The sequence below is a fragment of the Homo sapiens genome, chromosome 5 (assembly GCF_000001405.40).
Source record: "Homo sapiens chromosome 5, GRCh38.p14 Primary Assembly".
Lineage (NCBI taxonomy): Eukaryota > Metazoa > Chordata > Mammalia > Primates > Hominidae > Homo > Homo sapiens.
Window position 1 is genome coordinate 160,615,200 of NC_000005.10, and position 13,952 is coordinate 160,629,151.

Genomic DNA, 13,952 nt, shown 5'->3' on the forward strand with positions numbered 1-13,952 from the left:
ACCTTTCCTGCCTTCCATCATTTCTCCCCACTCTGTTTCCCCCCAGCCCGGGACCTCCAGGCCTTCAATTGGGTCCTCCTCCTCTGCCTAACCAGCTTCTCTTCTTGCTTTCAGTTCACTGCCTTCCTAGACCCTCCCTCACCCCTGTGCTAGGCTGGCATCTCCTACTTTTTGTGCTTCCATCCCACCAGGCCCATCTGCTAGCCCAGCTCTCACCAGTCTGTTGAAATTGCTTGCTCGATCATCTAGTATCCTCACTAGACTCCAAGATCTGGGAGGGCAGACTTTTTGGCTCCTGTCCCTTGTTGCAGCCCCAAAGCCTAGCATGTCACTTGGCACATAGTAGGTGCTTAGCAAACATTTGAATGAAGGGAAGAGTGTGCTGTTGGAAAAGCAGCCAAACTCAGAGGCTTCTTCCAGCAGGGAATGCAGGAATGCTCCCAGAGCATCCTCAGGAAGCTGTGTGTGGTGTCTGGGTTGGGTATTGGCATGGCCCATTTGTGCCAAATACCTGGAAGGGAACCCCAGGGAAGGCTGCTAATGGAGACATATTAGTAGTGTCAGAATCGGGGCCAAGAGCTCCCTTCTCAACTGGCTGCATTCCTTTTTTCCTATAATAATGACTTATTTTTAGCTACCAAGTAAGGTGAGTTGATTCTCCAGATGCTGTGCAGTTTCCATGAGAAGCTCATCTCGGTTGTCGAGGGATGCCTCAGCCTCACGCCGGAAACTGGCCCATCTCCGGAAGTCCTCTTCGCTTACAACCTATGGGATGGGAAAAGGCTCCTTAACAATCTTGGGTGGACCAACAAGATAATTTCCTCTCTCTTCCCACCTGCTGGGTCTCCTATTGGCCTGTTTGAACTTCCCTACATAATTAGATGGGGCTTTCTTCTCAAAGACTTTTTTTTAAATATGTAAATTAATGAAGATTTATCCTTGTGTTCCATTATCACTAAAAATCTATTGTGCTCAGATCACTGGAGATGATCTGGACAGACAAGGTCCCTGCATGCCTGGGCTTATATGGTGGTGGAAGGTGAGGGGTATTATCCAAATAAATAATTTAAAATAGTTATTTCAGGGAATGCTAGGTAGTAAATGAGTGATATGAGAAAGTGTGATGGGATAGAAGAATAACTGAATAGGGGGCTGCCTTCTTTTGAAGTTTAGGTTTCCTCGACAAAATGACCTGCAAGCTGAGATCCAATGACAGAGGGTCAATCATGGGCAAGAGCAAGAGTTAAGGCTGTGGAACGGCAATGAACTTGGCCTTCCTTCTGTTCCTTGAATGAAAGACGGAGAAAGTTCAGAAATGAGGCTGGAAAGAAAGCAGCCTGTAGAGCACTCCACCAGGCATGGTGTCATACACATGGAGTGCCCAGTAGCTGGAATAATCCAGCTAGTGGCCACATCTTCTTCCCTCAGAGTCCCATTTTAGACCCTCCTGTTGACATTACATGCATATGGTGTCTTATAGCAATGAAAAATTATTTTGTTCAAGCATCAAATATTCCCTGAGTCCCTCTGCATGGCACTATAGAGAAAACGAAAGGGAACAAGTAGGCCTTTTGCTTTTGAGGAATGCATAGTCCATTAGGGGAGGCAAAATATGCACAAATAACTTTAATAGAAAATGGTGGTAAGGGTGTAATACTGATTCAGAGTAGCAGTAAGCATTTGTTGCTGTCCCAGGTGCTGCACATGTGGTTATTTTAGTTAATCTCCATGACAACTGCATGAGGGAGGGCTGATTAGCACCATTTTACAGATAAAACTCAGAAGTGAAGAAATTGCTCAAGGTCACACATCTAAAAGTAGTGAGATTGGGACTAGTACCCAGGTGGTTCTGGCTTTAAAGTGGGCACTCCTGATCTCTAATGCTGACCTAAGAACCATAAAAGACATGAAAAGTCCTGGGGATTTATGCAAGAGAACCCATGTCTAGCCATCTAGAAATGTATGCCCATCATAGCACCCCATTAGCTTTGCTTTTGGGTGACTCATTCGGTGTCCACACTCTGCAATTCGCAGCCCTCACTGCCTGCCTGCCTTGCAGAAGTTGCAAAGTCAAAGATCTTGCAAAGCATGAGTTAGGTAATCTACAAAACTATGGCTGGGCTGAGTGCAATGTGATAGGGAGAGGTAGAGAGTGGTAGGGACTGTGGCCAACCACAGAACACAGCTGAACATATCCCTCATCACAGGAATCAACTTCTTCCTGGTTGTAGCTGATTGCTGCCATTCTAGAATGAAAACACAGTTGGCCAGATCCTCTACATTTTTAAAAGAAACCGGAAATCTAGATTTTTATGTGACCATATAAAAGGTCCCCAAATTTAAAGGAAAATAATGCATACCTAAAAAATATAATTGGAAAACAAAATTATAACTGAAAAAATGTCATGAGTTGTGTGTTACCCATTACACATATAATGAAAAGCAGGGCATGGCAAAGCCACACTGATATGGGACCTAGCTCTTCAGATTTTGGCTTCCACAAAATTGTCAGTGTCTTGGGTTTTTGTGGCAAGTCAGAACAGCTAATCTTGAAAATGTTAAAACAACCACCTCTAAGGGTCTTTTATAAAGAAAAAGAAGCAGGGTCAAGGCCATTCAGCTATTTAATGATATTCAAAGCACGCTTGGAGGAATTGTTCTTACCTTCTTGGCAATGCATAGTGTGCGCAGGCCATCTCTTGCATACAAGTCTAGATGCTTTTGGGTCCGGGCTCGGATTTTTCTCAGCTTCTTTTCCATATTAATGTCAGGTACTGTCAAATAGCCATTTTCCCGCATGAGGCCACATACAAATGCTCAGGGATCCCCATCCCCAATACCCTGGAATCTCCTGTAGTAGACTACAAATACTTTAGAGAAGGAATCCCTTACAGCCCACCTTAGAAACCTGAAGGAGCTCTCCTGGCTGTCAGGTTGCCCTGGAAGATAATGCAGGGAGTCCTTAAGCTGTCTGCTCTCTACATCTTTTCATCAAAAGCCTGGCTGAGTAAAGTGCTATGTAAGGAAGGTAGGTGGTCTAAGGTACTGTTCCCAAACAGCTGTTTGCATGAGAACCGCCTGGGAATTTAATAATTGAGATTCTCAGGTCCAGTTAAAGCCCAGCTGAATCAGGGGACTAGAAGTTTGAATCTTTATTGTTACCTAAGGTGTTTTTAGTTGATCTCTGGATGGCCAACTGACTTTGGAAACTGTTCTCTATTTATCATCTTCTCTATCTTCTACTTGAGGTCTTATATCAAATTAGGTCCCAAGACATCTACAAGCCTGGATCTCATTAGCTAAGTTCCTCATTTCATTTGTTTAGCTGAGCTAGGCCTTCTCTCAATGCAAGAAATACGTTTAGAGAAAACATTCTTTTATGCATTTCCTATGAATGTAGTATGAAAAATATGTGTGTTGCTCAAAGTCCCCTTTGTAAAGTTGTACATAAGTTTCTGTCAGAGGTAATTTGTCTTTTTCTCTTGAAATTCCAGTTCCTTTATCTAATTCTATAATAAGAATTTTTCAGCCAAGGTTGGCTGGTGTGGGGTGGGATTGATGCCATCAGCACTTCCTTTATCTAAACTGCCACAGACATCATTTATCAGTCGCTTGTAAAACTGAGCTAGGCTTCAGAATCATTTTTTACCAGGGCTGGATTGAGATTTTTTAAAGGTCCTAAGATTGAACAGAATTTGTATACCTCACCCATCCTTGTATATAATGCAAAATTAAAAATGTAATTCTTAACAGAAAAGTATAATGAAGTCCAACAAAACTCTGATTTTTCCATGATACTACTCCAAGGCTGTTTTTATATAATATAAAACTTGTTTCAAAGATTATTTTCTCATTTTTCAGGTGTTGCTGGCGCCTTAAGCATAGTCTTCATTTGTGCATCGCCTGATTCGGCACTATTTACAATATTTTATTTTTAAAGACACCAGCTCCTGAGATTAAACCTGTTTGTCTTTTACTTGTAAGCCTTGGAGTTTACCTTCTTGCTAAGGCTGCCAGGAACCTCAGCATCAAATTGAACATTTAAACACCATAAATATTATTAAACCTGAGGTCATTTTCTCCCTCCTTTCAAAGTTTTGCTTCTCAATTCTTATAGTAACATTGTGTGTGTGACTTCTATTGAAGGCATCTCTAATCCATTTTTCAATCAGGTGAGGAGCAAATAAAGAGACATCTCCAGGGCAGCTTGGATGACTGGCTGCTGAGGGATAGAGTGCCGTGGCTCCCTTGACTCAGAAGTACTGAATTCACTTGTCTGCCAGAGTCTGGGAATAAAGAGAACTAATTAGCTCCCTTCCCATTCTACACACTAATCAATCCCCATAAACCTCTTGGCCCTGATCCATGGCTGATAATGCAGGAGGCACAGGGCTGCCTGGGCAATTCTGAAGCTTGGCTGGAATCTACTATCCTGGGAGAATCATAGCCCCATAACTGTCTTCTCCTTGTTAGCAATCAGGAAGCGGCTGCACACTAATTCATGCTGTTCCAAAATTGGACACTGATATGTAGGGACTTTGGAACATTTTTCTGGCTCAGTGCACGTTTATGAAAATCCATCTGGGGGAGGCTGGGGAAAAGGATAATAAAGAGGAACACCTGAGGCTTCCCAGAGTACACCAAGCCCAGTGCAGAATTCTGGCAGCATGAAACAAGCTCTGACCTGGAATTCAGGATACCTGGGTCTGGGATTTAACACTAGTTAACCATGTTACCTCTTGTAAGTCACTTTTCTTTCTAAGTTGAGTGTGCTTTTCTCCAAAATGAAGAGTTAGGACCACAATGTGTTCCATGGTAAGATAATGGATGTTCTAGTGCAAAAGACTGTGTGGATAATCCATGTTTAAATGAGTTTGGAAAACTGGGATGAAGTTAAAGATGTTTATCTGCTACAAGACTGTACAGTCTTTAAATATGCTAATGGACACTGTGATTCCCTAGGTCCAGGAGATGTAAAATGCAGCATGTTTTAAGGATATTTGAGGAAAACATCTTGTAGGTCTGTATTCCAGTTGGGACCTGCCATACCAGGTGACACTACAACTTGAGCTTCTTATTACCATTCCACACTGCTTCTTAAACTATAGAACTCTCTGTGCCTGGAACCCTGGTAAGGCAGGACTCACCGCAGGCTGGGTCTTCCAGCAGGTCCATGATGACCGAGTCAGCACCCTTGGTGTAGACAACAATCTCGCCAGTCAGTGGGTGCCTCACAACCACAGACATTCTCTTCCTGACAGAGTCAAAGCCCAGGGTGCAGAGGAGGCTGAAGGTGAGGCAGGTGCCCTGGGGCAGGCGCACAGTCACCTGCTCAGGTGTCCGGGACACTAGTGTGAAGCTGTAGGCATGGGCAGCGTGCACCAGGGCGGCCTCATCAGGGCTCTCAGCCTCGTAACAGAACTCAGGCCTGGCCAGGTCTGTGGCTGGGGCCTCCAATGCCTCCTCCAAGGAAGTGCCTGACCCAGACTCCAGGATGTCGCCCTGGTCCCACATGCTGCTCCTGTAGCCACCGTCATCAGTGGAGTCACCTCCACTGCACACAGATGCATCATCTCTCTCATCCGAGTCTGTGGTGGCCACGTTGGCCCCTAAGCTCTCCCCGAGGTCTGTGTCAGAGGGTGCAGTGGATGAGAATGACTGGCTGAGGCTCAATAGCTTCAACTTCTGGAAGAGCTGCTGAATCTTCTCCAGGGACGTCCCCAGAGCCTTGCTTGAGGGTTTGATGGTGACCTTGTGGCCAAAGAAGGAAAGTGGAATATTACTCTCAATGTTGGAAATAATACCAAGTTGTCTTATGCGGAATATGAAGGTACTTTTGCAATAAGTGAAGCCAGATATTTTCCTCCAGCCCTGAAATTCTAAGCATTGACAATGGTCATTTTCCACTATCTTTTGATCATCCCACTGTGAGCGTGGAGAAAGGAAGGAAAAGGAGATGAGAATCAGAAACTCATAGTAAGGGTTCACATTTCCTGAACTCTCACTATAAATGCTTCTGCTTTATCTTTGAGTGCGGTATCTCATTTCATCCTCCCAATAATTCTGTGGGATGCTATCATCAACCCAACTTATGGCTGAGGACATTGAGGTACAAAAAGTCTACATAAATTGGCCATGATCACCCAGTGTGTAGGGAGTAGAGTTGGAACTCAAACCCAGGTCTCCTCGACTCCAGAGGCTGGGCTCTTGAGCTACCTGCCAGCTGAAGCTCCCAGCCAGCTGAAGCTCCCACATTAACTTGAAAATTGGGAGGTGCCTACTGTCTTTCCCCAAATGGTACTTCTTCCCCTCTTAAAAATGAATTAATTTTTAAGATAAAGCTTTCTGCCTCCAAAAACTTCCTGAAGACTTCTGATAACATGCTGACTTTTCAGTGCTGAAGTGATTTTCAGGGTGGTTTGGAATCTGGGCATAATGAAGGGAGGTTGTGGTTTAGTGCCTGGGTGAAACTTCTTGTCTTGGTTTCATAGTTGCAAGTTGTACCACCTAATTATTCTCTCAGTGACTCACAGCTCACAGGGGTGATTGGCTAAGAGTCTGTGGAAGATTGAAGGCAAATCCACCTTCAGTAGATTTCAGAGTATAACTTCACATACATGACCATTCAGCTGCATTTTTTTCCATGGGAAGAACATTACACACAGTATTATTTTTAACCCGTATATAAAAACAGAGAGCAATATAGCACAATATTACTAGAAACCATTATGGAATTGCATAGATGGTTCTGCCATTTATGAGCCATATGTCCTTCATTACCTTGAGTTTTCTGAGCTACTATTTCTTCGCTTGTTAAATCTAAGGTCCTGCCTCATAGAGTTGCTGGGTTGAGAGGATTAAATGATAATACAGGTAAAGTGCTGGGTATGGAGCCTGGCATAAAGCCAAGTGCTCAGTAATCACTAACTCTTAATGTCTACCTGCAGACACATAGACAAAGTTTGAAAGCTACACAGAAAGCTCATATGTATCTTTTTCCATTTTATTTAAAAATGAGGAAACAGACCCAGGGAGGGTAAGAGACCTATTCTAGGTTTCACTGTGATGAAATGACACTGTTGCTAGGACCCAAATTTCATGTCTCCCTGATCAGAACTTCTCCCCTCGCCCCTACCCTGCCTTCTACTCCTCTACCTCCTTTACCCTCCTCCCCCAGCCATCGCTGGTCCTTACCCTCTGCCTGGGCTCGGTGGTTGTGGACACCATGACAGAGTTGCAGATGGTTAAGGCAAGGAAGAAATCAGCAATGGAGGAGGTGGTGGAGAGGGAAGCCTTGGCAGGTCTGCTGTCTGACAAGGTCTCCAACCACAGGGCAGCATCTCGAACCTTGGTCAGTAGGTTTTTATCTGGAGTTACATCTTTTTCCTGGAAGAGAAAGGCCAGAATGAGAGTCTTTTCTGGGAAGGAAGCCCACTCCAGAAGAATCTTCACATGCCTGGGGAAAGGATGATGCAGCTTCATTGCAGTCTTGCATCCAGCATGTTTTCCTCTCCCACAGGTCTGGCCATTGCCAATTCTTATTTGAGTCCTTCCTGCCTCTCAGTGCCACATGTCCATCCATTACCAGATGCTGACAGTTCTTCACTCTCAGTGTCTTCCCACCATTTGTGTTGCTTCCAGCCATGCTGAGACCCTCTACCCCTCAATCCTGAATTTCTGCACCAGCCTCTAAACTAATACTGTTGCCTCTCACCTTTTTTTTTCTAATCCTTCCTATGTATCACCTGCACAGTCTTCTTAAAACTCCATTTCCTCCTGGCATTCTTGACTTCAAAAAACCTTCAGGAGATATCCATTGTTAGCGTGATCAATTATTTGGCATTTAGATTCTTTCACAGTTTGCATTTTCACTCTTTATTCCCATGCTTCTCAACATGGACCCTCAGCTCAGCCTGGTGGTCTGTTTGCTGCCTCTTGGATGTATACTCCTGTATTCCTCTGATCACACTTTGCTTGAAAAATCCTCTTCTACCTACCAAAATCCTACCTAGACTTCAATAACCATGGGAAGTCCCGCTTGTCCGTGAGATCCTATATAGCTCACAATGAAGTCTCTTTCTCCTGAACCACAATAGCAGATTCTTAACTCAGAATGTCCACAGGAGTCAGGCATGTAAAGTGAATGAGGAAGGTGGGCCAATGTAGAGTAGAGGACATTATGGGGTGGTGGGAGCTATGAGACCTAGCAAGTCCTACCACTATCTAAAGGGTAGCTACTGCTCTGCTGAGTGTAATGCTCCAATACTGGTCTAGTTTGCCAAGTCTCTTGATTTTTCAAGATAAAGCAAAGATGATGCATGACCTATTTTTTTTTTTTCTTTTCCTCCTATTCTTCTTTGGAAGAAAAAAGAGGACGGGCTGGATCTGACCCATGGATTTCCAGATTTTCACATCTTTCTAGAAGTTACCACTTGAACCATCCCTTTGGAATTCACTACATATTGACCTATATGTTATTTGTTGGCTTATTTTCTCTTGCTCTGGCTCCTCTATTTTACCCCAGGGATCTGATGCCAGAAAAGCTTCTCTCAGGCAGTGAGATCTTAACCAGAGCAGAGGTGGTGGTGGCAATGGCAGTGGTGGTGTCTGGTTTTGTCTATCTCCCTGCTGGCATCTTGCTTTGGCCTGTATTTTAAATTCACTTTTCTTATGTCCTTGTTTAATCTCTCTAGAGATAAGGTAAGAGCCTCAAAAATAGAGAGGTTGAGTTTTCCATGAGGCTGTATTTCCTAGAGCTCTAACTACAGCTTTTTTGAAGCAGAAGCTCAACAAATGCCAGCTCTCAATGGTTAGATATGACAAAAGCCATTTTGCACAATGCTTTCACATAAGACCATTCCTATCAGTGTTCTGAGTTCACAGCTAAATCACGGTTTAGAAGACAGTCAATGGCTGAAAATGATAGACTGAGGGAATCTTGATTAATTTGTGCAGGGTGAAGACTGAGGGCCAATGAACTTTACCCAAGTTGAGAGTTTAAAAACAAAAACAAAAAACCCATGGGAAAAGAGCCCTCAGACTTTTCTGACTACCAAATGCAATGACTCCCAGAGGTCTGATTCTGTCCTCCCTAGGGCTGCTGGCACAGGAGAGCCAGAGGGGAGGAAACTCAGACATACCCCACAAGAATGGAGCACACACTCTTCAAGAATACCAGCCTTCATTCTGGGTGCTCTTCAGGAGTCCACAGTCACACCCCAACTTGTTCATACCATTGTAAGAAGACAACTTCCAGAAAAAAAGTCTACTTACCAGAAGCAAGAGGGCTAATAAAACTGAATCAGACCTACATTTCCTTCCATTGCCCTGAAAACAATTGTGTGAACCATCCATACCATGTGGTGTCATTATTTCCAAAATCCTGAGAAGGGCACACACATATTATCCATGCTCTCTGCCTTTGACTCCAGTCTTCCTAGTAGGCGCTCACATTTGTGAAACTCTTCTTACCTTCCCAAGCAATGTCATTTATATAACCTCATCAGATTCTTATAGTCCCAAGTTGAGATGAAATGAATCCCGACTTAACTAAAACCCATAGAGACAGGCTGATTTGACCAAAGTCGCCTAGTGAGTTAGTGTAAAGCCAGAATCAGAGCTCAGACTCCTGAACTGCTAGTCTAAGGTTTTTCATTTCTGTGGTCACAGTATGTTCTCTTATTAATATTTCTCTGCAAACTTCTAAAACCAGATTCCAGGGACCATCTAGTGTTTGTCATCAAGTCACCAACACCACTCAAGGAACTCCAAACCTATTTCTCAACAGAGTAATGACAGCTCGTATTCATGTGGTGTTTCTTATGTTCTAGTACATCCATGGCCTCGTTATATCCCTGCAGTAACATTATCTATTTAGTACCATCATCCTCCCAATTGTCTCTGTATTTAAGATGAGGAGACTGATGCCCAAGGAAGTTGATTGTCTTGCCCAAGGTCACACAGTAAGTGGGAGGAATTCTTTCAGTTGATTTCAGTTAGTCTGACCCTAGAATTCATAATCTTAACACCTATATCAGGCAAGATCCTGCATGTGAAAGAAGTGGCCTTTGAGACTTGCTACCACCCAGGGTCTTTAGTGTCTGGGCATCTCAAACACAATAGATGCGTTTGTATATCTAATCCTTAAGGCTCAGCAGATAGTCCATGAGAGTGATAAAAGGGATTATGGAAAATTTCATTTTTTCAGAAAATAGATTTCTTTTTTAGGGGGAGGGTACATAAATGAGATGCTGTTAAATCTTACTGCCACAGGTACCCAAGTTGAGGAACAAACTTGGAGATGTCAAAGCTAAATCCCCTATTTTCCTGATGCCAAAATTGAGTGTCAGAAGGAGGAAACTGCTTGAGATCACACACTGATTTAGGGTCAGAACTAGGACAGTTTTCATACCACCTGACTCCCATCCTCTTATAACACACTGCTTTGTTCCAAGCTATGCATTATGTATTTCCAAATGCTGACACAGTTAACATGCTTCAAGTTATTTAGTCCATTTTCATTTACCCACTAGTCTGTAAGTGCTATGAGGGCAGAGACTGTCTCTGATGTGTCCCTCATGCCTGGTGGATTGTTAAGCACTCAAAATATTTGTTAACTGACTCCTTTCTAGGATACCACAATAGCTCACCACTGATTAACTCCTGCTGTCTGTTCATTAAAACTACTCTTTTATATATTCCCATCCAATCTTGTAGCAATGCATTAAAACAAAGGCCTTCGCTGTAAAAGGCCCTGGCTCATCCTGCAGGTGCCAGGAACAGATGTCAGCTAACCTTTACCCAGTCACCACAGACTTGTTGCCACAGGGCAAGGCTCTTCATGGCTCCTTTTGCTCCAGCCCACTGGTTTCCCATGTGGACCATTAACATTTAGAAACTTGGCACTTAGAGCACTTAGAAAGAAAGCAGTGTCCTTACCCATTGCTGACCATTGTCCAGACTATTTCTCGGAAGAAAAAGAAATATACATTTGTGGGGCCACCAGTTTTTTATGTAAGAGCTTTGTGGCAGGCAGACACTCAACTAGTTGGATTTCTTTCCATTGTAGACCATCTAAAATGCATACAAACCCCCTTTGAGGAAGCTGATTTTTGAGCTCAAACGATATCCTCAAGGGTCCTATTATCATTAGATTACACTTACTGAGAATGCATAGCATAACAAAGTCAGGCACTGGGCTAAGTGCGCTCACATCCATTATCTAATCATCCTAAGAGCACTGATATGGTTAGTATCATTCCACTTTAATTATGAAACAAGCGAGGCTCATTGAAGTTAAGTAACTTGTCCCAGGTCATAAAATCGCAGATAATGTGCTGGGACTTAAATTCGGTACTGCCTGATGCCAAAGTCTAAACCCTTTAACGCTATGCCAACATTTCTCAAACTTTAACATGTACACATGTCAACTGGGGATCTCATTAAAATGCAGATTCTAATTCAGCAGCTCCGAGTGGGGCCTGAGCATTGGCAATTCTGACAAACTTTCAGGTGGTGTTCATGCTGCTGCTCCGAGGACCACAGTTGGAGTAGCAAGGGTCTGTGTTACATGACAACCCTACTGTTTTCATTCCTTTCTGGCTGGGATGTGTTCCCACAATGAAGCCTGGGAAAAGTAGGCCAAACTCTACTCTGCTATTCTTCTTTCAGTTTTAATAATAACTCGCCCAAGTTCAGGTATAGCAGTTTGTTGCTACAGGAATCCAGAGAAGGAAATAAACAGGAACCCTGGTTCCTGAGCTTTGAAGAAAATCCTTCATGGCATAGTTCCTCTTATGTCTCTATTTCCTCCTCCTCCTCCTCAGATTGCACCTTTCATTCCAGCTACTCCGAAGAACTACAATTCTCCATCTTGCTTCTACAGATTGTCTCCTCTCACAACCTGCACTCCTCATCCACTCCTCACTAGGTGGTCTCCTTATTCCTCCAGTTAATATTTACTCCTGTCTCAAAATTCAGCCCAGGGGCCAACCTTTCCAGGAAGCTTCCTTGATGCCCCAGTATGATATAGCTGCACCTCTTCTAAGCTCCTATAGCACCTCTGCAACCACACATCCCAGCCCAGAGAGCATTGTCCCATAGTCACTGGTGCTCCTTTTGCCCCTTCATTGAGCTGTAAAATCCTGAAAGCAGGAGCAATGTTCTATTAGACTTTATGTCCCTAGTCTCTAGGACAGTATATGCCACAGAGTAGATGCTTACTGAATGTTTGTTGACTGACCCAATAAATGAAAGGCTCTTCTAAAGAAATGTAGACACTGGCAGAGGTGGGAAGAAGCAGGCCCTTCTGTTTGTTGTTGGTGAGTGTCTCAACTGGTACAACGTCTTGGGAAGAATCAACCAGAATAAAAAAATGCACATACTGGCCAATTTAGCAATTATGCTCTAAGAATACTGTAGAGAAACTCAAACACATATATAAACAGATGATGGCTCAACCATCCAACGAATTCTAGCAGTCATTAAAAAAAATAAAAGATGAGGCAGCTCTCTATTGAATGTCTACCTGTCTGTCTACACATAGGAAATATTCTTTAAAATTCATTAGGTTAAAAAAGCACAGTCCTAAACAGTGGGAACGGTATGCTTCCACTTGTGAAGGATGTGCTTGTGTATATGCCATACTTGTCTGTTTCTGTGCACCTTTGGGAAGGACACACAGAAGCTGCTAATCGTTGTTGTGCCTGAGGTGGTGGGAAGAGAGGAGGGAGGGACACTTACTTTCCACCATCAGCTTTTGGTTCCTTTCAATTATGTAACCCTGTGGGCTATGACTATTATGGCAACATTTTCCTGGTTGCTGGGGAGCTGGAGGCTAACACTGTTTAGGGCAGTGATGGTTTTGTCCTGTCTAAGGCTCTGGCCTTAATGACATTTAGTTTGAATCAAGAACTGGGAAAGTCCAATGTTAGTAAATGCTCACTTAAATAGGAACACATGGATTGTTAGGGGAAGCTTTTCCCAAACGGGGCATAAGCCCAAAGAAAAAAACTCAGTGGTGAAGCAAGAAGGGAGTTTTCCAGATCTTGTCAGTTCCCACCTCTTGTGAACAGTGTCACTGAGGCTGGGTCCCCCCACCCCGATTTGAGACACTGGGGAACAAGGGGAGTACAGATAGGCTTCACTGCTTCCTGCCCTGTGTGATCACATCACTTCCAGAAAGATTCTGTGTACTTGGCTAATTAAATCAGGACTCTTATCTAACCTTACAGTGGGAGTGTGTGTATGTGGGCTGTCCCACCGATTTGGAGCAGACTGGGAGTGCTGCATAAATCTCTTCCAAAGAAAGAAAGGCAGACCAAGATTAGTGAAAGGAGGCAGAGGTCCAATGACACCTCCTTCGCTCCTCTCTGTTGCATTCTCTTCAGAAGGGTGGGGTGGCGGGGGGGATGTCCACAAAGGAAAGCAGTGTGGAAGTTTGGAGGAGCCTAACTGGCCCCAATACAAATTTTATGATTAGGAAGATATTCTGTGGTCTGATGGCACTGAAAAACATTCTGCAAGTGGCATTTTTACACAAAGACTCTCTGCTGAAATCTTGGCTGCGTACAGACAAGGAGAAAAAAAACCCATTTCATTTTCCATCTGCCAGTACTATTAAACATTGGCTTGGGACTCAACTCACCATTTTTATAAGTATATTACCCCCACCTTAAAGCCACAGATTTTATTGCAGGCAATTAGGTGACAATCACTGATGGTTTCTTGTTTTTTTTTGTCATAAAAGAAAAAAAAACAGCTTTTGTTGTTGCTGTTTTTGTCGATTGTTATTTTTGATTTAGAGCAAAGGGCCAAGGAAGCCAACAACTGGCTTCTTTAGAAGGTGGTAGAATGCTCCCTGGAGGTTTCAGAGGCAAATTTTGACTGAGTTCACTAAGGGAAGGTAAAGAACTGGTGATTCCAAGAGATGATCAGAACAGATTGGGTGCCAG

At 43.4% G+C, this 13,952-nt stretch overlaps 1 protein-coding gene across 11 annotated transcripts in view; it reads right to left on the reverse strand.

The window, feature by feature from the left end:
- The window catches only part of ATP10B (ATPase phospholipid transporting 10B (putative)), a 366,241-nt gene that overhangs the window by 52,080 nt on the left and 300,209 nt on the right, over nt 1-13,952 (reverse strand). For all 11 annotated transcript variants that reach the window (XM_017009252.2, XM_047416995.1, XM_011534468.3 and 8 more), the window contains 4 exons: nt 7,195-7,386; nt 5,148-5,751; nt 2,665-2,774; nt 639-765 (listed from right to left, as the gene is read on the reverse strand). In XM_017009252.2, the coding sequence (XP_016864741.1) occupies nt 639-765; nt 2,665-2,774; nt 5,148-5,751; nt 7,195-7,386 (1,033 nt within the window). The remainder of the gene's footprint in view (nt 1-638; nt 766-2,664; nt 2,775-5,147; nt 5,752-7,194; nt 7,387-13,952) is intronic.